This window comes from Homo sapiens, chromosome 1, assembly GCF_000001405.40.
Source record: "Homo sapiens chromosome 1, GRCh38.p14 Primary Assembly".
In the NCBI taxonomy this organism is placed as follows: domain Eukaryota; kingdom Metazoa; phylum Chordata; class Mammalia; order Primates; family Hominidae; genus Homo; species Homo sapiens.
The window spans coordinates 239853594-239877802 of NC_000001.11; the positions used below are offsets into that span (position 1 = coordinate 239853594).

Genomic DNA, 24209 nt, shown 5'->3' on the forward strand with positions numbered 1-24209 from the left:
AAAATAAATACTCTTTTACCTCTTCTGTTTATTTGTACAAAAAAATTAATCAGTTAGTGTATTCTGTTGTATAGATGACAAACTGTATCTTCAGGAAGCATGCCTGATTCACCTGTGTGTTCCTCTTCCTCTCCTCTATGCAAAAATTCAGCACAAAATCAATATTTCTCAAATTAGATTAAGTTAAAAGGAGAAGGGATAATGGAAGAAATTCCATCTTGCCTCTAAGCCATAAAAAATAATTTTTGAACCAATCTTATTTACCTTTGTTTCTATCCTTTTCGTAGTATAAAATCCTAGAACTAAATCTCAAAAGAAAGATTTGAAAAAACAAGAAGGAAGAGGATGCTATGTAATTTACTTAAAGCTTAGATGTTGTCCCACATTGGTGGAGAAGTTAGGAATTGCTCTGTGTTTTCATTTTAAAGATTTTACCTACATCATAGCTTTTATGGAGGATACATGTGATATTCTATTTAAGATATGAGTCACAGTATAAAATCTTAAAAAATACCTATTTCAGTAAATTCATTGTTCTTTAGAATTTTGAAACTTAAAATAAAATGTAGGCTGCCATAGGCAATATAAACGAAGAGACCATCAAGGATTACATCAGAAACAATGATCATGCTTGGAATATGATTTTATTCTTTAGTCCCTCTGAAAATGGATGCTTCCAGATTTACTTGTAATATTCATTTATCCATTTAGTCATTCATTCATAAAATACCTATTGAGCTCCTTTGTGCCAGAGACTATTCTGTCCACTGGTGATGTACAGTGAACAACAAAAACAACAACAACAAAAAACAATCCTTCTGAGTCTTATTCATGGTCTTCTTGCCAAAGAAATGACTAGGAACAAGAAAACACAGCATCCTAAGTGTTTTTCTCCTGAAACTACAAGTGAGAAAAGAGTATATAAAAGGAAGAAGAAATACTAATCACTAGCATTGGTATGATAAACAAATAATAAATGCTACCCAGAAAACAGAGCCTGTGAAGAGGATAAAGAGTTCTAAATGTCTTGTCTTTCATGCCTACAAAATCACATCCAGCATGAAACATGGGCTGTCTGTCACTATTATTTCCAGAGAAGAAATACACTTACAAAAGTTTTACCAATCTGTTCATTCTAAATTGCTATGGCTATTAGGAATTTCAGAAATATCTTCCTATGTGAAAATATGGAAAATGTACTTTCAGAGCTAGCATGTTTCCATCATTCTTTTAAAGCTTAATACTGAAAAAATTCAAAAGAATTCAGATAAGTGGAAGGCATTTTAAAGTTAATTGCTTCGTTTTAAAAATTGCATTGCTCAGACTCAAGAGTAAAAGCCATTTCCTAGTTTTTGTCATGTCTTTCTTTCACTGTGTATCAGATGTCACTTCATTCATAAAGTTTGCAGTGATTTAACAGCCTTATTATGCAGTTGTTTCTGGCAATGCCCTTCACTCTTGACTTTGCAAATTGAAATAGGTTTTATTGATCTACATGCATTAAGTGTTTCCGACACTCTTTACCATATTCCACCTTGCTAGCCGTTACTTAATAATGCTGACTTCAACAGAAATGATGAGTGTCCCTGTAATAAATCATGGCCTTCCAACAATGGCTTTGTAATGGTCAGGATAATCACAAAGTCATCATGCATTCCCAAAAGCATTTCTTAGCTTTTGAGCAAAAAATTATAGAGAGGGTTTCAGGTTTCTAGTTGACTCTTTTTGAGAAATGGCTTCATTGTGAAATCCATTCAGAATTTACCTAACTCAGTGTTGACACATATTTTCATTTAAACTTTAGATGAATTGCAATTTCCAAATCCACTTTCTCTCAATTAGACAAGAATTTCCTTTGCTATGTATAGACAAGGCAAACTACAACTGAGATGAATGCATTTTAATCTGATACATAAATATGTCATTTGAACCTAGTCAGCATTAGGGGATTTTACTAACAGACTTTTTTTTTCACTCATACACACAAACACACACACACATACCCAGAATGTATTGACAGGTCAGAGTCTGCTTATAGATTGATCAGTGGGTAAAATAAGGGAACAACATTTTTATTGCTCTTTTTACATTATGACTAGCATTTTTCCTCAACATTGATTATAAGCATTTTCATACATAATGAAAAGTTGGAAGAATGTTACAATCAACATCTATAAACCCACCTTTTAGAGTCAATAATTTACATTGTGATAATCTTATAATACCACATATCTGTCCCTCTGTCCATCTAAAAATCCATCATATTTATTTGATGCATTTCAAACTTGGTTGTAGACATCTATATGCTTTCACCTAAATACTTTAGCAGGCATATCAATGTAACAAATTTTTATGTTTTTGTGTTTCTTAGCAGTTTCTCAGGAGGGATCGTTCCAGGTGATCTTAAATTTTGTAAGCTATTTAAAATTCTGGTCTAGTTGTACTTGTCCCTGCAAAAATCTAACATTCTCCATTACCTCTTTGGCTTCATCCACTGCTTCCTTGAGCCTGGTGCTAACTGTCCTATCTCTATGTTCACATCTCTATCCCTTTCCCTCCACCACACCAACTTATTTGTACAACCATGAATCAGTAAGAGTTCTCGAACCCAACTCGCTCATAGCTGTGTAGTATAGAAGGTGATAAGGTTTGGCTTTGTGTCCCCACCCAAATCTCATGTTGAATTGTGATCCTGAGTGTTGGAGGTGGGGCCTAGTGGGAGGTGATTGGATCACGGGGGTGGTTTCTAATGGTTTAGCGCCGTCCCCCTAGTGCTGTCTCATGAGTGAGTTCTCACGAAATCTGATTGTTTAAAAGTGGGTAGCACTTCCCTTTTCATGCTCTCTCTCTCTCCTGCTGGCCATGTGAATATGTGTTTGCTTCCCTTTCGTCTTTCTCCATGATTTTAAGTTTCCTGAGGCCTTTCCAACCATGCTTCCCGTGCAGCCTGCAGAATTGTGAACCAATTAAACCTCTTTTCTCTATAAATTACCCAGTCTTGGGTAGTTCTTTATTACAATGTGAGAATGGACTAATACAGATGGTATGAGATCGCTACCAGGAAGACAATTAAAAGCCATGGATGATTACAGACCATGAAAGGGAGGGTGAGTTGAGAAAGTGCCCAGCACAATGTCTGACACGTAAATGATTCTTGATAAACATTTATGGCATGAAGGAGGTAAACAGAGAGAAGAGGAGGGAGGAAATGGAAAGGAGTTAGAGAGGGGCATCACTAGCTAGGATAGTGCATGAAGGCTTCTTAGAAGAGCTAACATTTACTTGAGTGGGATTTTGCAAAGAAGGTAGGTAAAACTCATCTCAACAGAAAATTGTAAGCAAGCCCTCAAATGAACAATATTCTCTGTAGCACATTAATAGTAATTAATCACCTGCTAAATTAAAAGAAGAGATGGCCAGTGAATACTTGTATTCTTTGAGCAGAAACTTGACTGGAGAAAGCTTCCTGAAAACAAGCAGCATTCAAGAGTCTCTTTAAAACTTGAATGATTGCTTAGGAGGCTGTTTGATGGCCTTGAAACTGAGATAAAAACCAGGAGGGTAGAAATGAGTGAGTGGCAACTTTTAGGTATACAGAAAGTTGCTAAAGCAAAAAACATAGACACATAACTTTCAGCCACCGATCTCAATATTTATAAGGGAAATGATAATGTCTCAACACATGCCCCATAGGGAAAGAGCCAGAATAGAAATATTTTTGACACTTCCATTTGGAACCAGAATCTCTCATATTTACTATCTAAAACTAAGGAGCCTTTCCCAAGTTAGTTTATTATGATACTACCACGAATAAGTTAAATATTAATCTGTTCCCTAAAGATAAGTTTTATTGCTTTGAAGGATGAAAAAAATATGAAATAATCACTTTGTGTGAGGTGTGTCTGTGTTTGTGTGTGTGTGAAGTAAAAATCAAGTTAGGAATAAAACATCTTTTTAAAGTTTATCTTATAATTCCAAACGAATCCCTGGAAACTGAACTACTGTGTGCCATTTGTTTTTGTTGAAATGGTTGTTAAATTATTCTGATTATTTAGCGATGCCAGAGGCTCTCTTAGAGTAATTTGATATATCACTCGGTGTCTTTGTTTCACCTCAGCTAGGTCCAGAAAGAGACCTGGAAGGGAGGTGGATAATCATAATAAATGAAAGCCAGCCTTTCTAGTTTAGTTATGCACAAAGGTTAAAATAATTTGTTAGCCAACAAAGTGTTTGTGCAATTACCATAGGTCTTTAATCATGTTTTGCCACTATTGCCACCTGTCTGAAATCTTAGACATCTTATGTTCTGTTATAACATTATTTGAAGTTGCCCCGAACATTATCTTATGTGATCCCTCAGAAAAAGGGGGAATTAATTGACATATATTATTGATATATATTATTAATTAAAATAGTTCATACTTTAATAACATGGCTATAAATGTGTATGTGGTTCCTACTGTGTCTCATCATAATTCTCATTGGTTACCAAAGAGCAAGATGACTTCACTTAATTCACTTAATGATGCACTAATTAGAAAGGAAGAACACTTCAACAATTAAATCCATTGACCAGTTTTCAATAGCTCTCCCACGCTGGCATCCTTGCTGCGATTTCACAATATTGCAGAACCAAGTGACATTGTTCTTTAATCATACACATGAATGCATTCACTCTAAGTATATGTTGAGTCATCCCTTTCCTTCTCCACCCTTCCCCCTTTAGAGCTCGGTTTTAGCTTTTATTGTCACTTGAATCAAATCAAAGAACAGCAGAAAAGAATAACATGAGGAATGTAAGTATCGTAGTTGGAGTCTGACTACCTGAAATCAGACTATCTAGATTCCTGTTTTGGTTTTTCCTCTAACTACCTGTGAAACCTGAAGCAAGTGTCTTAACCTTTATGTGCCATAGTATTTTCATTTGGAAAAAAAAAAAAAAAGAGAATAATTGTACTTGCCTCTTACAATTTGGGTTTTTTGCGTTTGTTTGGTTTTTTAAGGTAGAATTTATATAACGTAAAATTAGTCACGAATCATTTTAAAGTGTACACAATTCAGTGGCATTTAATTCATTCAGTGTTGGTACCTGTCATCTCTTTCTAGTTTCACAGCATTCTCATCACCCTAGAGGAAGCCCTGCATCCATTAAGCAGTGACTCCCCATTTGTTCCTAGAGCCCCTCCCCCAGCAGCTACCAGTCTGTTTTCTGTGTCTATGGATTTGCATATAGTGGATATTTTATATAAATAGAATTGTATAGTATGTGACCATTGGTGTCTAGCTTCTTTTGCTTAGCAGAACGTTTTTGAGATCCATCCACCTTGTACCACGTGTTCCATTTTATGGCTGCCTAATCATCCATTGGATGCAAATACCACATTTTTATCCATTCATCAGTTGATGGAAATTTGAGTTGCTTCCACCTTTTGGCCATTATAAATAAGGCTGCTATGAACATTTATGTACAAGTTTCAGGTAGACATATGTTTTCATTTCTTCTGGGCATATACCTAGTAATGGAATTACTGGGTCATGTGGTAATTCTACGTTTAACCATTAAAATAATTTATGGACTGTTTTCTAAGATGGCTGTAACATTTTACATTCTCCCAGCGGTGTATGAGAGTTTGTTTTTTCACATCCTCACTAATACTTGTTATGTTCTTTTTTGTTTGTTTCTATTTGGTTTTTATTTTGGCCAACCTGTTGGCCATAAAGTGGTATCTCACTGTGGTTTTTGACTTCCATTTTCCTAATAACAAATGAAGTTGAGCATCTTTTTATGGATTTGTTGGCCTGTTTTTTTTGTTGTTGTTGTTGTTGTTTTTTTTTTTTGTTTTTTTTTTTGAGGTGGAGTCTCACTCTGTTGCCCAGGCTGGAGTGCAGTGGCACAATTTCTGCTCACTGCAAACTCCGCCTCCCGGGTTCAAGCCTCAGCCTCCCAGGTAGCTGGGATTACAGGCATGCACTACGATGCTCAGCTAATTTTTAGTATTTTTAGTAGAGATGGGGTTTCACCATGATGGCCAAGCTGGTTTCAAACTCCTGACCTCAAGTGATCCGCCTGCCTCAGCCTCCCAAATTGCTAGGATTACAGGCGTGAGCCACCACTCCCAGCCATACTGTTTTTTAAATAAAGATTTATTGAAAAATAAGTTGTATTTATGTAGTGCATGCCGTATATCAGGCATTGTTCTAAATTATATATAAGTTCTAAGTGTTTTATATATATATATATATATATATATATATATAGTCATTTAATCTCAAAATAAGTATAGTATTATTATACGTAAAGCATGTGGACCAGTACTTTGCAAACAGTAAACCAAAGAGAACAAGCATGTCCCCAGGTGAACTCTAAAAGACCTTCAGGAATACTCTGAAACCAAGCCTCCAACAATGCAGACTGCAGTGTGTAGCCCAGAGAACCCGACAGTCGGCTGGTTGAAAGGAAGCACCCATTCTCTAAATTGTATGCAGCCACACAGAAAAGAAAGCAGCCTAAAAAATTGGCAGATGATTAGAATTTCTCAGGGAGTTGGAGCTGAACACTAAACTCAAATCAGAGCATCTCTATTCCAATGTCAGCTCTTCATTTACTAGGTCTGTGACCTTAGGCAATTCACTTAATTACATAAACAAGTCTGATATTGCATTTATAAAATGAAACCATAATAATCTTTATGAAAATTCACTGTAAGCTATAAAAGTACTATACAAAAACATTATTACTAAATGTATGAATACCCACATTTCTGCATTTAACAGCAAACATGGTATAAAAGCATACATGCATTTTAAAATTAAAATTATTATAGATATGCTTATCTATTAATTATTTCTAAATATACATGTACAGGCTGAGTATCTTTTCCCTGAAATGCCTGGGACCAGAAGAGTTTCAGGTTTCAGACTTTTTAGGATTTTGGAACATTTGCACATACATCAGGAGATATCTTAGGGGTGTGACCCAAGTGTACACATGAAATTTATGTTGCAGACACACCTTATACACATAGCCTGAATGTAATTTCATGCAGTGTTTTAAATAATTTTCTGCATGAGGCAGAGTTTGTGTTAAGTACTTATGTGTCAAATTTTCCCCTTGTGGTGTCGTGTCATGTCAACACTCCAAAAATGTCAGATTTTGGAGCATTTCAGATTAGGGATGCTCAACCTGTAGCAAGTGATAGGGTAGAATTGATAAATCAGTCTGTGTAGCTGAAATTCTTAGTGCCAAATATACCAGTAGTTTAGTTCATCAAAAAATCTGAAGCATTTTAAATACCCTTTAATCCCTATCAGTTGTAGTCATTATATCTATTTTTTTCTTACAATAACTTTGAGGACTATTCTTATTATTTGTATTTAGAGGGTAAAAAAATTAAAGACCAAAGAAATGTAATCTCCAATACCTTACAAGTCACTTAGCAGGAGGAACTAGGACTCAAAATTAGAGACTTGTTTTTCTTTCTATCAGTAACCTCTATTATTAACATTCAATTATATTCTATTGAGTGTATTCTCTGAGCCAGGCATCCTGTTAGACCCTAGGGATTTGATGTTGTGCAAAAACAAGCTATGAAGCTTATAAAGGAAAAGAGAAATATTAGTCTAATAATCACATAAATAAACATAAAAATCACAATTTGAGAAACTTCTGTGAAGGCAAGTGTTTTGGTGATATGAGAGCTTATAATGGGACATTGACCCAGATGGGGGATCAGGAAAGGTTTTTCTAAGAAGTGATGATGGAGTTGAGATATGAAGGATAATTGTGTATTAACTAGCAAAAATGGACAAAAAGAACATTCCAGGGAGAGGAAATAGTACAAGCAGACGATATGGTAAAAAAGAAACATGACCAGCATTAGGGACTGAAAGATGATTGAGGCATTAGAATGCAAGAATGGTGCAGAGAAAGGTTCCAGAGGAGACTGGAGAGGTAGCGAGAGTCAACTCATGCAGGGTCACACAGAGCCATGTAATAATTGTCCATGGGACCAAGTTGGGCAAGGTTGGGGCAAGAGAAGTTGTGTGATGTGTTTAAGATCACACAGACTCGTTCGTTATTTTTTCGTAGAGTACTTCACTGAGTTTCCAAGAGGTGAAAGGCTATCTCTAAGGCCTTTGGAAATTTCCCTGATAAATTTAGATCAGTATCTTCTAATCCAGGGTTCCATTTTGTTTTAGTTCTAGGCTTTCTTAGTTCAAGCAATTTTAGTAATTGATTAAGCTTATCAAATAATAAGAAAACTGACTAAATACCATTTAATAGAAAGAAAACAATGGTTTTTGAAGAGATAAACAAATTTGCAGATGAAAAATGAAATTTTCCCAAAGCAACCTGTCTTCTGAGGCTGTCTGTGCAGTTTGTACTAGAGCCACCAAAAAAACACAAAAGAACAGCTTCTACCTCTGGTTTCCAAAAATTAGGGGAATGTCATGATATGCTTCAGACTACAGCCTCTCAATATAAAAGGGTTTGCTTGTTTTAACTAAGGCTGCAAAATTAGGGAAGAGGTTGCAAAACCTTCTGAAGTCTATGTAATTCCCTCATGGTTTTTGTATTTTCTATTCTGCAAACACAAGAGGAAGTTTACTACGTTTCTCAATGATTACACAGACTTGTAGAAAACACCACTATTACACTAGTCTGTTTCCCTGTTAGAAGGAAGTCTAGTTTATTGGAAAGGAAGCTATGTCAGAAAATTGAAGCATCCCTGCAGCTTAACTTCTTGAACAATCATCATCCTTTGACTTCATTTACAGATTAAAACAAAGAAAAACACTCCTAAGTAGAGGTTTATGTTCAAAGTAATCAGTGCAGTCAAAACTACACCTTAGAAGTCATTACATGACAATTCCAATGACATTACATTATTTTAAATTTCTTCTTTGCCAAGTCACAAAGGGCAGTAGAACATGAAAAAAAAAGATTGAAATTAAAAATAGCACTTAGAGGTCAAGATTTTCAGGTAGAGTGTGTTTGAACATGTAAGCAAATAATTAAATGTACTGTTTTGATAGTTATTGATTTGATTTCTTTAAGTACCTATTATTTAGTAACATGTTTGAAAATAAATATGACTAAGACTCCCAGTCTGCTTCATAAAGCAGAAAGCAAAACAAGGAGATCATAGGCTCTGAATCACCTAAAATACAGCCTATATTTACAGAAACTCCTTTTCATTTGGTCTGTACATCTCCATTTGATCTATACTGGTCAAAGCTTGTACTTCGGTGAAATCAAAGAACACTTTAGAGAAACAATTACAGTAGTTTTCTAATTTATTTTTGGCCTTGTCATTCTAAAAGGGAAGCTTGAGATGAAAGATATACAGACAATTTTCACTCTAACCTTTGTATCATTAATGTGGATGTCAGATTACAGAATCTGTTTCCTTAAATAAATGTGGTTTAAGCCTGAGGATATCAGGAGGAGTTTTTGCCCATAAGGAGTTTCTAGTCTAGTTGTGAGCAGCAGGAGGCTGATAAAGGACGGAGCCAAAACTCAAACCCAGGCCTGTTTAGCTCCAAGCTCTCTATTCCTAATGGGTAACTCATATTGCCTCTTATTATTTAGGTTCTTAAGTTGCAAGAAAGAGACACCCTGAATATAAACTTAGGCCTTGCTACCATAAAGGTAGCAACCGCCTTCAAAGGATGGGACAATGGTTTGTTTTTATTCTGGTAATGGCAGCAGTTCCAGAGTTTCCAAGGACTCTGTACCAACAGTGACGCAGCCGTCACCTTAGGGTGCCCTGAATAGCCAGGGCCACTTTCTCTCTGCTCCATCGGTGTGGGCAGCTCAGACTCACAATGCCCAAGAGAGCACATAAGGTTCTGTGTCACTTTGCCATATGAGCTGCCTTACTGGCCAGAACCTTACCTTAGTCCAGCCCCTCAATGGTCATCCCATGGAAGGAATCCTATCTAATCAGCAGACACCAGGGTAACAGATAGAAAGGCCATCAGGGCTGGTTCCTCAGGGTCAGGCCATGAGAGGCACCAGGCTTAGAAGATTCCCAAGAGGAATTCTACCAAATCTTTTCTGAATGGATAATCCCAGTGCTGTTAAAATTGCTCCAGGTGCAGAAAAAGAAAGAAGGTGGGGGGAAGAGAAAGAAACAAAGAAGAAAGGGAGGGAAGGGGAGTAGACAGTGGCATAATTCTTTAACAAAGCAAACATACAATGTTATAAAACTCACCTAAGAAAGAAAACTACCAAACTCTTTGGTTTTTAAAAAGGAATTGACCAATCCTAAGTATAACAGTAACAGACACGATGCAACAGCACATTAGAAGGAAACACACCACAACTAAGTAGAGGTTATTCCAGGAATGTAAGGATGGTTTGCCAATGTGAAACTTATTAATAAAATTCAATGTACTAAAAGACCTTAGAAGAAAAATAATATGATCTTCTCCATAGGTGCTGAAAAGTATTTGATAAAATTCAGTCCGTTCTTGATTTAAGAAAAAAAAAAAAAAACTCAGTTGGGTGAGATGGCACATGCCTGTCATCCCAGCTACTTAGGAGGCCGAGGAAAGAGGCTAGTCCAGGAGGCAACATAGCGAGACCCTGCCCCCCCACCAAAAAAACTCTGAAAGGTATATGTATAGGCCGGGCATGGTGGCTCATGCCTGTAATCCCAGCACTTTGGGAGGCTGAGGCGGGCAGATCACCCGAGGTCGAGAGTTTGAGACCAGCCCAACCAACATGGAGAAACCCCGTCTCTATTAAAAATACAAAAATTAGCCAGGCGTGGTGGCACACGCCTGTAATCCAAGCTACTAGGGAGGCTGAGGCAGGAGAATCGCTTGAATCTGGGAGGCGGAGGTTGCGGTGAGCCGAGATCGTGCCATTGCACTCCAGCCTGGGCAACAAGAGCGAAACTCCGTCTCAAAACAGAAAATACACACACACACACACACACACACACGCACACACACACACATATACATATATACATATATATGTATGTATAGAAATTTAACATTTTAACCCTCAAACTAGCATCGGGCCTAAAGGGGAGTGACTAGAAACCTTTTCATTAAATCGGGAATAAGACAGGGACAACTACTATCCTCATTATTACTAAAATTTTTCTGAAGGTGCTGCAACCAACCAGACAAGAATCTAGAAAAATGGAAGATTTTTCCTTTGATTCTCTACCTATAGAATCGTGTGTAAATTAAACTATTTTGAGATATCACTTTTTACCTATTGAGTTAGGAGAAGACTAACAGGCATGGTGACACATTAATGTTGTCAAGAGAGAAGAACCTGATGCTGTCACATGAGGCTGCTGGGAGTGAAAATTTATATGTCTTCTAGGGTGGAGAAGGTGACAACATCTATCACACTTATAAATGCACACACCCTCCCTCCATCGAGTTATGAGCATTACATGTGTACAGAATGAAGGCTGTACCTCGCGGCATTGTATGTAATAGTAGAAAATGGAACCCACTTAAATAACTGCCCATTGACTAAATTATAGTCCATTCACACCACGGCATGTAATGCAGTCCAAAGAGAAGGAGGAATCTCCTTGTAAAGGAACATGGAATCTCCTCTGTGATATATTGTTATGGGAGAAAAGCAAGATGGAGAACTACATGTATAGGATACTCCTGTTTGTGTACAGCACACTCCATCTGTGTATAAAGAAGACCATGGGATACATCAACATGTATATGCATAAAAGGAATCTTAAGACATTGGTTGTCTGTGGGGCATCCAGGGTATAAGGATGTCAGACAAACATTTTTATGTCTAGCTTTTGAATTTTGAACCATAAGAATGTGTTACATTTTCAGTAAATCTATAAATAATATGTAAATTCAGGAAAGGAGGAGGAAACAAAGGAGGACAGGGAATATGGCAGGAATTTGAAATTCAGTGGCTGATCCAGTCCAGTTAGCAAGAGGGGCCCTGTCAGAAGCAGAGAGGGACAATGGCACTATTCCAAGAGGTGGGAACACCAGAGCACATGGCAGAGCTGAAAAAGTGGAGGAGGGGATGTTCAGGGGTCAACAGGAACTCAAGTCTGATCAGAAAGAGAGCAGACCAAGAATCAAGGGTAGCAATATTGGGACAGCATTTCACAGGACATTTGGACCAGGCTTGAGGGAGCTGCGTTTTAAGAAGTGACATGATCAAAACTGCTCTACTCAGAGCCTATCCTGTTACTTATGGGAAGAATAAATGTAAAGGAAAAGGTACCACATGTTAGCTCCTTGAATACAGAGAGTTGGTCTGGTTGTCCTTGCAGCCTCTGTGCTCAGAGAAGTGCCCAGGACAGAGTAGGGAGGGGTGCGGGTGCAGGCAGGGAAAGAGCACTTGCCTCCCACAAGGGTCTATTTTCAGGGTGTTCCATGGAGGACCTGATTTAATCCTGGCAACAGCTGTATGATGGGGGCTTTTACTATTGTCCCTATTTTACGGATGGGAAAACGCGAGGCTTGGAGTGATTAAAAAGCTTGCCCAGGCCGGGCACGGTGGCTCACGCCTGCAATCTCAGCACTTTGGGAGGCCGGGGCGGGCGGATCACAAGATCAGGAGATCCAGACCATCCTGGCTAACACGGTGAAACCCCGTCTCTACTAAAAATACAAAAAATTAGCCGGGCGTGGTGGCGGGCACCTGTAGTCCCAGCTACTCGGGAGGCTGAGGCAGGAGAATGGCGTGAACCCGGGAGGCGGAGCTTGCAGTGAGCTGAGATCGGAGCTTGCAGTGAGCCGAGATCCCCCCACTGCACTCCAGCCTGGGCGACAGAGCAAGACCCTGTCTCAAAAACAAAAAAAAAAAAGCTTGCCCAAAACTACAGCCAGTAAGAGGTGGATCCTAGATTCACCAGACACACAGCTGTAGAGCCCATGCTCTTAAAGAACATTCGGCTCTGTTTTTAAATACCTTTGTAAACTAGGATTGTAGCCATGGAAATCAACAGGAGATCAAGGATTCAGAAGAAAGAAATACAACAGCGCATGAAGGCAGGCGATATTACTGTCACATCTTTATATTGGTTGTTATATTAGGTAATGAATGTGAAAATGCTTTAAGGAGAAAGAAATATTTTCATGTATTCCTTTATTCATTCAGCCAATGTTATGAATCACTGTGTGCAAGGAAATTCACTGGACTGGGCATAGGAGGAATAAAATACTAGCTCTTCTTTTTAAAATTGCCTATAAAAGTAGTAAATACCATTTATTATGCACCTGGGATTACTAAACTCTGACTTGGGATGTTGCATACTCATGCCATTAGATCCCAACAACCATCTGATAAAATAGATACCACGATGCACAATTCACATGGCAGAATGGATATTTATCCATGAAAACCACTGTTTCAAAGGTCTTAACAGCCAGGCTAGTGCGTGGTAGAACCACACTCCAACCTGCATCTGTCTGACTCTTCAGGGGCACCGGGTTGCCAGCTGCACTTCAGAGCCAAGCTTGGGGAAGGAATGTTTGCCCAGACAGCCATCTTCTTTAGGCCAGAGCTCAAACCCTAAAGCCTCAAGCAGACATCCATAATCTGGAGAGACATTTCTCAAAACCAAGTAGAATTATAAAATAATTAAATAGAATATAAATTATTTTCCCTTATAGGGAGTGTTGATTTTAAATGAAGATTGTGCTGAGGACGGCGAAGCTTGTACATACAAAACCAGTGTTCTGTGGGTATATGATATTGTTCTGCTTATTTGAAAACTGAATCAGATTGTAAGATATAGGAGTGTGCCCACTAGGAATAGGGCATTTTCTAAGTGACTTCGAAAGTCATGTATGGGCTGGGCCCGGTGGCTCACGCCTGTAATCCCAGCACTTTGGGAAGCCGCGGCGGGCAGATCATTTGAGGTCAGGAATTCGAGACCAGCCTGGCCAACATGGTGAAACCCTGTCTACTAAAAATACAAAAATTAGCCAGGCATGGTGGCACACACCTGTAATCCCAGCTACTTGGGAGGCTGAGGCAGGATAATTGTTTGAACCCAGGAAGCAGAGGTTGCAGTGAGCTGAGATCACACCACCGCATTCCAGCCTGGGTGACAGAGTGAGACTCTGTCTCAAAAAAAAAAAAAAGTCGTGTCCAGGTATATGATGAGATGGCGGAACTTAACATCGTACCTAGAAAAATACAAGGTATTCTTATAGCTCTGGCTATAACCATTTCTGTTGGGGCCCAGAGACAACACAGCGCCTCCTAGTTTACCTTCCATCTCCCCTCCAAAGGCAGCCTTGGACTGAGTATGTAACTGGCAACAACCCCAGTCCCCGGAAGTGACAGGCACCAGATTTCTCCTGATGATCAGTATCAGTGTTGTTTCACATACGCTTCGGAGGAGCCTGCCCTCATTTGTCCTGTGTTTAGCCAGTCACAGGCAAGCCAAGGAGGAGCATAAAACGGGACCAAAGCCCACTGCAAGTGTGCCCGTGGCACCCAGCACCAAACACTTAATTATTGCTCCCTCCTTGAATCGCACACACTGTAAAGAAAGAAAGGCGAAACTCTGAAGTCATTCACAGGAAGGTACTATTGTGTGGGTGAGACATTAATGCTCAGCAACACCCTTGGGTGCTTTCAGAGAACAGAAGGGAACTCCTGCGGCGTGATGCCGTGAGTGGCCTCTCGTGACCTTCGGTGACAATGCTGCATCAGGGTACTCTAGTACAAATCTCCACTGGGCATGTTGATTTTACAGCTGTCACTAAATAGCACATTTACTCGTTCACATGGTGTAGCTGGACTGCCACCCAGGGACCACACAGAGGTCCTTTTCCCGTGGTTCTCATTCCTTCTTTCTCCCTCTCTTTTTTCCCTTCTCTCAGTCTCTAAGTGGCTCTCCTGACCTTTGATGATGACTGAGACAGATACAGATATCTCAAAATAAGTAGCCCCAGGCAAAGACCACTACTATAAACTTTAAGCTGTTTCTCTCACCCAGAGCTTCAAGCCCATCCGCCAGCCCTGGCTAGGGAGTTCTCAAATCTGTTCTCAAGCCATGCTAGGTAGTCACATCCCCCTTCAGCTCCCGTCCTGCCCAGCTGAATAAAGAAGACACAGTGCTTCTCTCCCACTACATTCAGCCATAAATCAGCGAAAGGACCCTGATCCTTCAGTCCAATCTCAAACCTGCCTGAGAAGCACATGAATTAATGAAAGAATGATGAATTCTGAGAATGAGAACGGAGCCTTGGCTTGTAGTAGGCACTGCTTTCATTAACTGACCATGTAACTTTCATGTCTTTGAGCCCCGGTTTCAAGATTGATAAAATATGGATAATAGTCTGCTTCACGTGAAATAAATACAGCTGTGAAATAGCTTTTTAAGCCTCAAGGTCAAGGTCCTTACAAGGAGAGCCTGGGGTGGGGATTCCTGTACCAGTGAATACTGGGAGTGTACTCTTAGGAGCTGAGTAAGATGAAGGTTGGCTGCAGCCTAGCTTTCTGCCTGACGCCTAGAAACCCTGCACCCCAAACTGCATGCCAGAGTTTGCCCCACGCTGAAACAGGGACCTAGGGGAGCAGCTGTGAGTTCCCAGCCCCAAAACAGCAGGTGAAGGTGGGGAGCGCACCTGGGCAGGACACCCAGCAGCGTGCACTAAAAGGAACCATATGGTACAAACTGAAGGCATCAGGAGTTCTTGGAGGAAGACAGAGTCAAGAATTAGGATCCACTTGAGCCCTAAAATGATGAAGGAAGGCAAGTCAAAGCCCTGAGAACAATCCAAGAATGGTTTCCCACTTCCAGCTTTAATCTCTCCATCTGAAAAGAACCCATAGTCAAAGAACAGCCTTGTAAGCTTGGAACATAGTAGTCAGGCAATTAGGTGGACATTGAATTTGTTCACCCTGTGGCCTACAGCTTCCCTGGTGGAGGTAAGCCTTAAAGTGGTCTCTGCCTGGGCTACAGAATCAGCCACAGGAGTCAAAGTCCCCTGTGGCGTGGCCCAGCCTGGAGTCACAGATCACACCCTCTGGAATGAGCACATCCCCAGCCCTCAGCCATGGATCCCCAAGACTTCCTTTCTTCCTCTGACCCCCCCAGAGCTTATAATGTGTACTTATTACTGTATTAATTGCCCCTGATTAAGTATTATCTTTTTATGTGCATATGTCTTTATTTGCCCAAAATGTGAACTCCTGTAGGGAGAAGCTGCGTCTAAATTTCTTTTTATGCCTGGTTCTTCGTGGGTGTTTGGTAAATACTTATCGATGGAGTATTCATTTGACTGATAGAGTGGCATAGAGTGGCAGGGGTTTCAGGCACTGGGGAAAGAAGAATCTACAAAGGGAGTGATCATTTGGAGTTACTTTCAACTCATTGATATGTGGTTTGGGGTACACTGTCTTCTCTCCCAAACAGGTCATTTTGTGTTTGTTGTTTCTACTGTATTATGTCCTTTATGTTTGGGGACCGTTCTGCAATTCTTATGAGTCATTCCTGGGTCCTTGAAGCTAAATAAGGTTAAGGCACATTCTTTGAGGTGCCCCTGGGAAGGTTCCTAGTGTGTAAATGGCACAGTCTCTGCACACAAGGAGTTTATTATCTAAAGAGGGAAAGAATAGGCATTTTATGCAATGCTGACAAGGAAACAGAGCAAGTCACATCTCTGTAGGGTCACACAGGGAAGTTAAGAGAGGCAGAAGGCAAGCGCTGAGCCAGCCTGTCCATCTCCCCAGGTGGGTAACAGTTGTCCAGATAAGTAGAAATAACCCTTCCAGGCAGCGAGGACAGATGAAACCTTGTCTGTTAGTTTCCTGTGCAGGCCTTCAATTAAGTCATACGATAAGGATTAATGTTTGTTGAGTGTTAGCGACATGCCAGACATTCAACCCACCCCTTCCCGGGAGCGCTAGACAGGCCAGCAATCCAGACATCAAATGGATCTGCTGACAAGGTGGCTCAGTCTCACAGGTGAGCAGTTCAGAGCTTTGTGGGTTGGTTTTATTGTTCATTCCTTTGTTCTTTGGGTATTTTCCCCCAAAACTTCACCTGGTGTTCTGTGAAGGAAACAAAAGTACCTCCTCTATGTTCCGTGCTGGGCATTCACTCTGAGGTTATGCTTGTATTCATGGAATAGCTGAGGCTCTCGTTAGCCACCTTCCTTCATATTAAAATCTGTCAAAAACAGAAGTGCTCTAAGGAGATCATGCTTTTCAAACATTCTCACTGGTGTATTAAATAGGTGAGTGATCACAGGTGCTGGGTGTGTTTATCCTCTTTTTGACTCAAATGACATTCATTAGTTTTCGCCTAAGGCATACCTGAAAGCCAGATTCACTTCAAACTAGCAGGGATTAAAAAAACGATAAACTACAGAGGCGATTTTGTGCTTTACTTCTCCTGGCGTCACCCAGACTGGCGGGGACGTGCTGCTCTTCCTGACCCATCCCAACAGTGTCCTCGCTTTGAGACGTGTTCCCTGCGGGCTCTGTGAGTTAGGGTTGTGGAATCACTCCAAACTAGCGACAGAAGACGTTCAAGAAAAGTAGACAGTTGGGCTCATACTAGAATGTATTTAAATATATAATGTTATCTAGAAAGAGGATTTCTTAGGTTGCAAGATGGCAGGATGCACTATATCCTGTGTATAGGGTATAGGGTATAGGATTGCCATATTATTATTATATTATTTTTTGAGATGGAGTCTCGCTCTGTTGCGAGGCTGGAATAGAGTGGTGCGATTTCGGCTCACTGCAACCTCTGCTTCCTGGGTTCAAGTGATTCTGCTGCCTCAGCCTCCTGAGTAGCTGGGACTACAGGCATGCGCCAGCATGCCCAGCTAATTTTTGTATTTTTAGTAGAGACGAGGTTTCACTGTGTTGGCCAGGATGATCTCGATCTCTTGACGTTGTCATCTGCCCGCCTCAGCCTCCCAAAGTGCTGGGATTACAGGCATGAGCCACCACCCCTGGCTGCCATATTATTTTCTATGTCTTATGTACAGTTTCAATGGAAATAAGTACCATAGTAAACGTCAGTCATAACACATGATGAGTGACCTGTTTCTTCTTCCCTCTGTTTTTTTGTTAGTTCATTTGCAATATGTCTCTGTCGTCATATTTTGTATAGGTACATGCAGTTTACATGATATGGTTCCCTGAGCTACCCAACCTAAAAAGGATTTTGGAGTGCTAATGATTACTGCCTTAGACCTGATAAAAATCTCTTAACCTGGGATAGTTTCTCCTTTCCTCGTAAGGAAAAGCTGACATTCCCAAAGAGTAGCCAAATACGAGAGGCGCACTGAAATTTTTAGCTGGGGTTCAAGAATGAAAAAAGTTCTTCCACCACAAACATGCCCAATTTACACACAGCCTCTCTACTTCTCAGTAATTTAGACAGTTGTGTTGATTGAATTCTGGAAATAGAAATGAAAAATAATTGGCCCGTCATTGTTCGAATAAACTTTGTAAGAAAGCTAACACACCTCACCCCACACTAGCCACTGGTCTCTTGGGGATCTGCAGGTGAAAGGTAGGTGAGGCCTGTGTCACCAGCCCTCTCTGACTTGGAGCTGTTTGTTAAACACAAGGCCAAGGCAAGACTTGTGTGTTTAGAAAGATGGCAGTGTGGTGTGAGCAAAATATAAATTCTTTGTAAGTCAGAAGATCTCACCTTGGTCACATTGCTACCTTTTTAGTTTTAGACTGAAACCCGAAAGGCCTTAGTTTTCATCTCTATAAAATGAGGTGATGAACTTTAATATCCCAGAGCTATCTTTCAGCTCAGACCTTCTGTGACCAATCGTAGCAGCAATTATACCCAACAGACCTGTGGACCTGGTCTAGACCAGAAAGAGGAGTAGCTATCCTGAAAAGTAGGACTCCTCCCAAAGAGAACTAAACACCCACCTTGTGTGGGACGGCCCCAACCCGAAATCAGCACCACAGAAGAGCAACTGAGCAAAATTATCTATCCAGAACATCTGAGAAATGACAGGATACAACACAAATCCTTCCCTGAGGCAGGCTTCCTTAAGCCTTATTCATCTGCAGTCTACTTTTATAGGGAAAAACAAAATAAGGGTAAACATTATACTTATGAAAATGTCCAAATATCAGCAGGAAGTAGAAAAATCCGAATGTAACATTCTGACAGCCTGCAGTCAAGTGAGACTGCAGAGTATTTTTAGCATTATGGATATGTTTTTTCAAGTAATATACATGCTGTGATAGATGTCATGAACAGACCTCAAAAATCAGCAGGCTCTCAATCCCTCAGAGCATAAAGCCACCTGCACAAAAAAACAGTGTTTTAGTCTGAGTTTCTCTTGTTCAGCTGAAAAGTTTGGCAGAACAGCCCTCCAGTTTGTATTTTTTTTTTCTTCCTAAATTGCATGCAGAATCCAGGACCAGAAGAAGTTGTCTCTCGAGTGTACTTTTGAAATGACCCCAATACAGAAATTGCTAGGGAAGCACAGCTATTCATGGGATCCCCAAGTCATTTTGCAAATCATGACTGTGCCAGTGTGTACAGTTGGGATGTAGTGTGTCTATCTGAACACACCCAGGGCATTTATCATGTACTGTGTCTATCTGAACACATCCAGGGTATTCAAACAGACTGAGTTCATAACCATTCCATATAAGTGCTGGTACCTTTGGCAGGTCACTTGTCCTCCTGAGCCTCAGTTTCCTCAGCTACAAAGTGGGAATAAACCCTACCTTTGCTTCCTGAATTCCCACACAGGGAACATGATAATGCAAAGGGAAACTTTCTCTTTTTTTTTATTTATTTTTATTATACTTTAAGTTCTGGGGTACATGTGGAGAACGTGCAAGTTTTTATACACATGCCATGATGGTTTGCTGCACCCATCAACCCATCATCTACATTAGGTATTTCTCCTAATGCTATCCCTCCCCTAGCCACCCACCCCCTGACAGGCCCCAGTGTGTGATGTTCCCCTCCCTATGTCCATGTGTTCTCATTGTTCAACTCCCATTTACAAGTGAGAACATGCAGTGTTTGGTTTTCTGCTTCTACATGCTACTTTGCACCTATCACTGTCTGTTGAAAAACCTTTAGCAGATCTCTTGTTATTTTCAGGTGACAGTCAAAACTCTGAAACCAGACACTGCCTGGTTTGCGTTTCTCTGCCTCTCTGGTCCTTCTCATGGTTCCCCCTGCAGGAATCCTCCCTGCTGCCATACTTGCCTCGTTTTCCTCTGCATATCTTGAGCACCTCCTGATACTTGCTTTTGCTTTGGGATCCAAGAACTGGTTCTTACCAGCCCAGCTGAAGTCCCCCCTCTCCTCCTAACTCTGCCTACCTGCTCCTCTCATCGGAGTTTCTCTCCACAGCATCCACTGAACTCTTCACTCATGAGGACTGTCATGGATTTCATGGATTTCGTGTGCTTAGCCTTGGACTAGAAATTTTACATACATCATCCTTTGTTATCCTTATAGGAACCTGAAGAGTAGGGTTTATCCCCACTTTGTAGCTGAGGAAACTGAGGCTCAGGAGGACAAGTGGCCTGCCAAAGGTACCAGCACTCAGATGGAATGGTTTTGAACTCAGTCCATTTGAACTCAGTTTGAACTTTACTATGTATGGGCTTCCTTTGCATAACTTCCTTGCAGCTTTAGTTTAGTTTTAGAATATATATATATTCTAATATATATATAGCAAGACCTATATATATCTATATACACAGTATATATATATATATATATATATATATATATATATATATATACACAGTTGACCCTCGAACAACACAGGTTTGAACTGTGCAAGTCCACTTAATATGCAGATTTTTTTCAGCCAAACGCAAATGGAAAATCCAGTATTTGAGGGATGTGAAACCTGTGTAAACAAAGGACCAACTTTTCATAATCACAGGTTCCATGGGGCCAACTGTGGGACTTGAGTGAGTATTTGAGGATTTTGGTATCTGCAGGGGTTGTGGATCCGATCCCTGATGATAATGAAGGAAAGCCGTATATGTACATGTATCCATTTAGAGCACACACACACATTCAATGGTCTTAGTTAAATTTAAACCTAAGGGCAATGTCAGTCTGTTACCAGGTTGGTGCAAAAGTAATTGGGGTTTTTGGCATTACTTTTTTTTTTTTTATTTTGCGATGGAGACTTGCTCTTGTTGCCCAGGCTGGAGTGCAATGGCGTGATCTCGGCTCGCTGCAACCTCCACCTCCCAGGTTCAAGAGACTGTCCCGCCTCAGCCTCCCGAGTGGCTGGGATGACAGGCATGCACGACCACGCCGGGCTAATTTTGTATTTTTTAGTAGAGACGGGGTTTCTCCATTTTGGTCAGGCTGGTCTCGAACTCTCAGCCTCAGGTGATCCGCCCACCTCAGCCTCCCAAAGTGCTGGGATTACAGTCATGAGCCACCGCACCCAGCCGCCATTACTTTTAAATGGCAAAAAACGCAATTACTTTTGCACCAACCCAATGTATCTTTGTATCTGTGTGACTAGCAAAATGCCCAAAAGGTAGTTGTTGATGATTCAGTCATTTGACAAATGTATATTAACGCCAGCTTTATTTAAAGCTTTGTGTTGCCTGTTACAGAAACAGCACTAATACAACAGACATGAATTCTGTCCTTCAGGACCCATGAGGCTTGAGAGCAGATGGGGGTTACACAGAGAGCTAAGATTCTATGGCAGAGAGGTGGCAACTGTTCTTCTGTTAAGGGCCTGAGAGCAAATATTTTAGGCTTTGCCATCGCAAGGTCTCTGTTGGGACTATTCGACTCTGTTGTAGTACAAAGACAACCACAGACAACACATAAACAAAGTTTATTGTGTCCCAGTAAACTTTATGTGTATGGATATGGAAATTTGAATTTTATGTGCTTAACATGTGTCACAAAATGTTATTCTTCTGGTTTTATTCTCAATCGTCTTTATATTTCTACACAAAAACCATTCTCAGCTCACAGGCTGCACAAAATAAGGCATAGCCAGATTTGCTCCAAGGCCAACCCTGCTCCATGGAATCATGTCACAATGGAGACCTAACTGAACTGGGTCTTGTATTGACAACGATTTACGTATCTCAAGACAGTATCATGTAGCCATGGTCGCTTTGCATTCATTTTGCCCCACATTGTTGGTCTTCAATACTGGTGTTCGATTTAGCATGTTGGGGTAATGAGTAGCAACTGGTCAAAATTAAGTGAGAGTTATTGTTTTTCTGCATAATGTTTCCTGTGGTCTCTCCTATCATTTCTTCCAAGGCAATATCAAATGAATTAAAAGGCAGCAATTTACATTGAATTGCTCCCCCATTCCCAGATCAGAGCACTTATTGCCACTCCAGCTTCCCCCCTTAAAGGTAGTTTTATGAAATGTTGTAGGAGAAGGAAATAGCATCCCTTATAATAGACTACACCTCAATCCTTGAATTGTGGAGGTGAGAGCATCAAAAAAGCTGATTGCCATACCTTTCCCACTGGTGACGTGCTAAAGAACTCACTTTTGTTTCTCATTCAAAACCCGAAAGTGGCAAATATGTTCAGCTCGTTGGTCCAGTTTAATCTCTCGTTCAGATCTTAGTAGTATTAGCCCATTCTATAGGAATTATTTGAATAGCCAGCTTCATTTTAAGACATCTTCTTATATAACTGAACAATTAATTATACACAGACATAGTCCACTCCCTTCATATTGATCTTGTTTCTGAATATTAAATTATTGGTATGCATTTATTGTTAACACAACATTGCTATGGCTTATATCAGTTTTGGAAACCAGCTGGAGGTAGTGTAAGCAAAAGGGCGGATTGGTGACATGATAGCGAGGTATCTCAGGCAATCCGAGGGCAAGAAGAGAGCCAGGCTTATGGAAGGCCCTAACTGGAACGTGGAAAGCCATTAGGATCCTAGCAGTTCTGTGTCTTCAGCTGTGCCTCAGTTTCCTCTGCAAACCAACTCTCTCTATGTCTCTATATAAATGGTGAGTGGAAGATGACATTCATAGATATACATCTCCACTGTGCATGAGACCAGCCTCCACCATGGGATGCACTGACTGCCGTTCAGTCCCAGATATGCATTCCTGGGACAGAGGATGCCATCTGTCCTGTTCTGGTCAATCACATGCCTCAGAAGGGCAGGAATAAACAGCAGAAAGTAGGAAGCCAATTGAGGTTACTCGGCCTTTGGGGTATGCTATATATATGTCTCTCTCTTTGGGTTAGGCTGACAATCAGTTCCCTAGTGTTTACTCAGCACTCACTTCATGACCCTTACTCTTATTTGCTTAGCTTGGGGTTTCATCAAAGCAGGCACATTTGCAAGAAGTCATCTACTTATTGAACAACTCTCAGGAAAAGACATAAATGTCATTTTGTTTTCACCTTCTATGAATCATAGTTGGTATCTTCAACAGAGACAGCAAGTGCAAAATGTCTGGAAAAATCTCTGAGTTAGAAAAGACTTACAGAAAATAAGCAAATTTAGGTTAAAAATGCCCCATCTCTCTCTTTTTCTGAAACCCAGACATACACACACAGAGTCATCCTGTTTGCTTGCAATTTTAATCTATAAAAGGTACTCATAGGTAATTTAAATTCTAGTGAATCATCCCTTTGGAAACTAATTGAAAGTTTTTTTATTTTGAAATATCAAGGCATTTTTCTTTAAAATTCTATAGGAAGTTAGGGGCTTCAGGGGAGCCACAGTTTTATTTTTTAAAAGCATAAAATGGCAGTGGCACATGCCTGTAGTCCCAGCTAATAGGGAGGCTGAGGCAGGTGGATCACTTGAGGCCAGAAGTTCAAGGCCTGCCTGGTCAACATAGCAAGACCCCATTTCTATAAAAATAAAAAAAAAAAGAAAGGAGAGAATAAAATGAATGGCTTTCAACTACGTGGTGAATAAACCCTAACTGGTGAATAATAATGTCAGTTTCCTTTTAGTTAACACCTGTTACATGCCAGATACTGCTATATATTATTTATAACTTTCAAAACTGCTGCAGAAAGTAATATCTCCATTTTATAGATGCAGAGACTGAGGCTAAGAAAGGTGAATTGAATTTCTTAAGGCCGTACAGCTCTGTGAAAGAATTCAAACCCAGGTGTCAATGGGCTGCTTCATGCTTCTTCTCATGAGGGGAAATATTCAGATTTTTTTTTTCTTTCTACAGATAATGCCATATCCAGCAGTCCCCTTTTGGCACCAGGGACCAGTTTTGTGGAC

At 40.3% G+C, this 24209-nt stretch overlaps 1 protein-coding gene across 33 annotated transcripts in view; it reads left to right on the forward strand.

The window, feature by feature from the left end:
• The window catches only part of CHRM3 (cholinergic receptor muscarinic 3), a 528883-nt gene that overhangs the window by 467026 nt on the left and 37648 nt on the right, over positions 1–24209 (forward strand). The window lies entirely within an intron of this gene.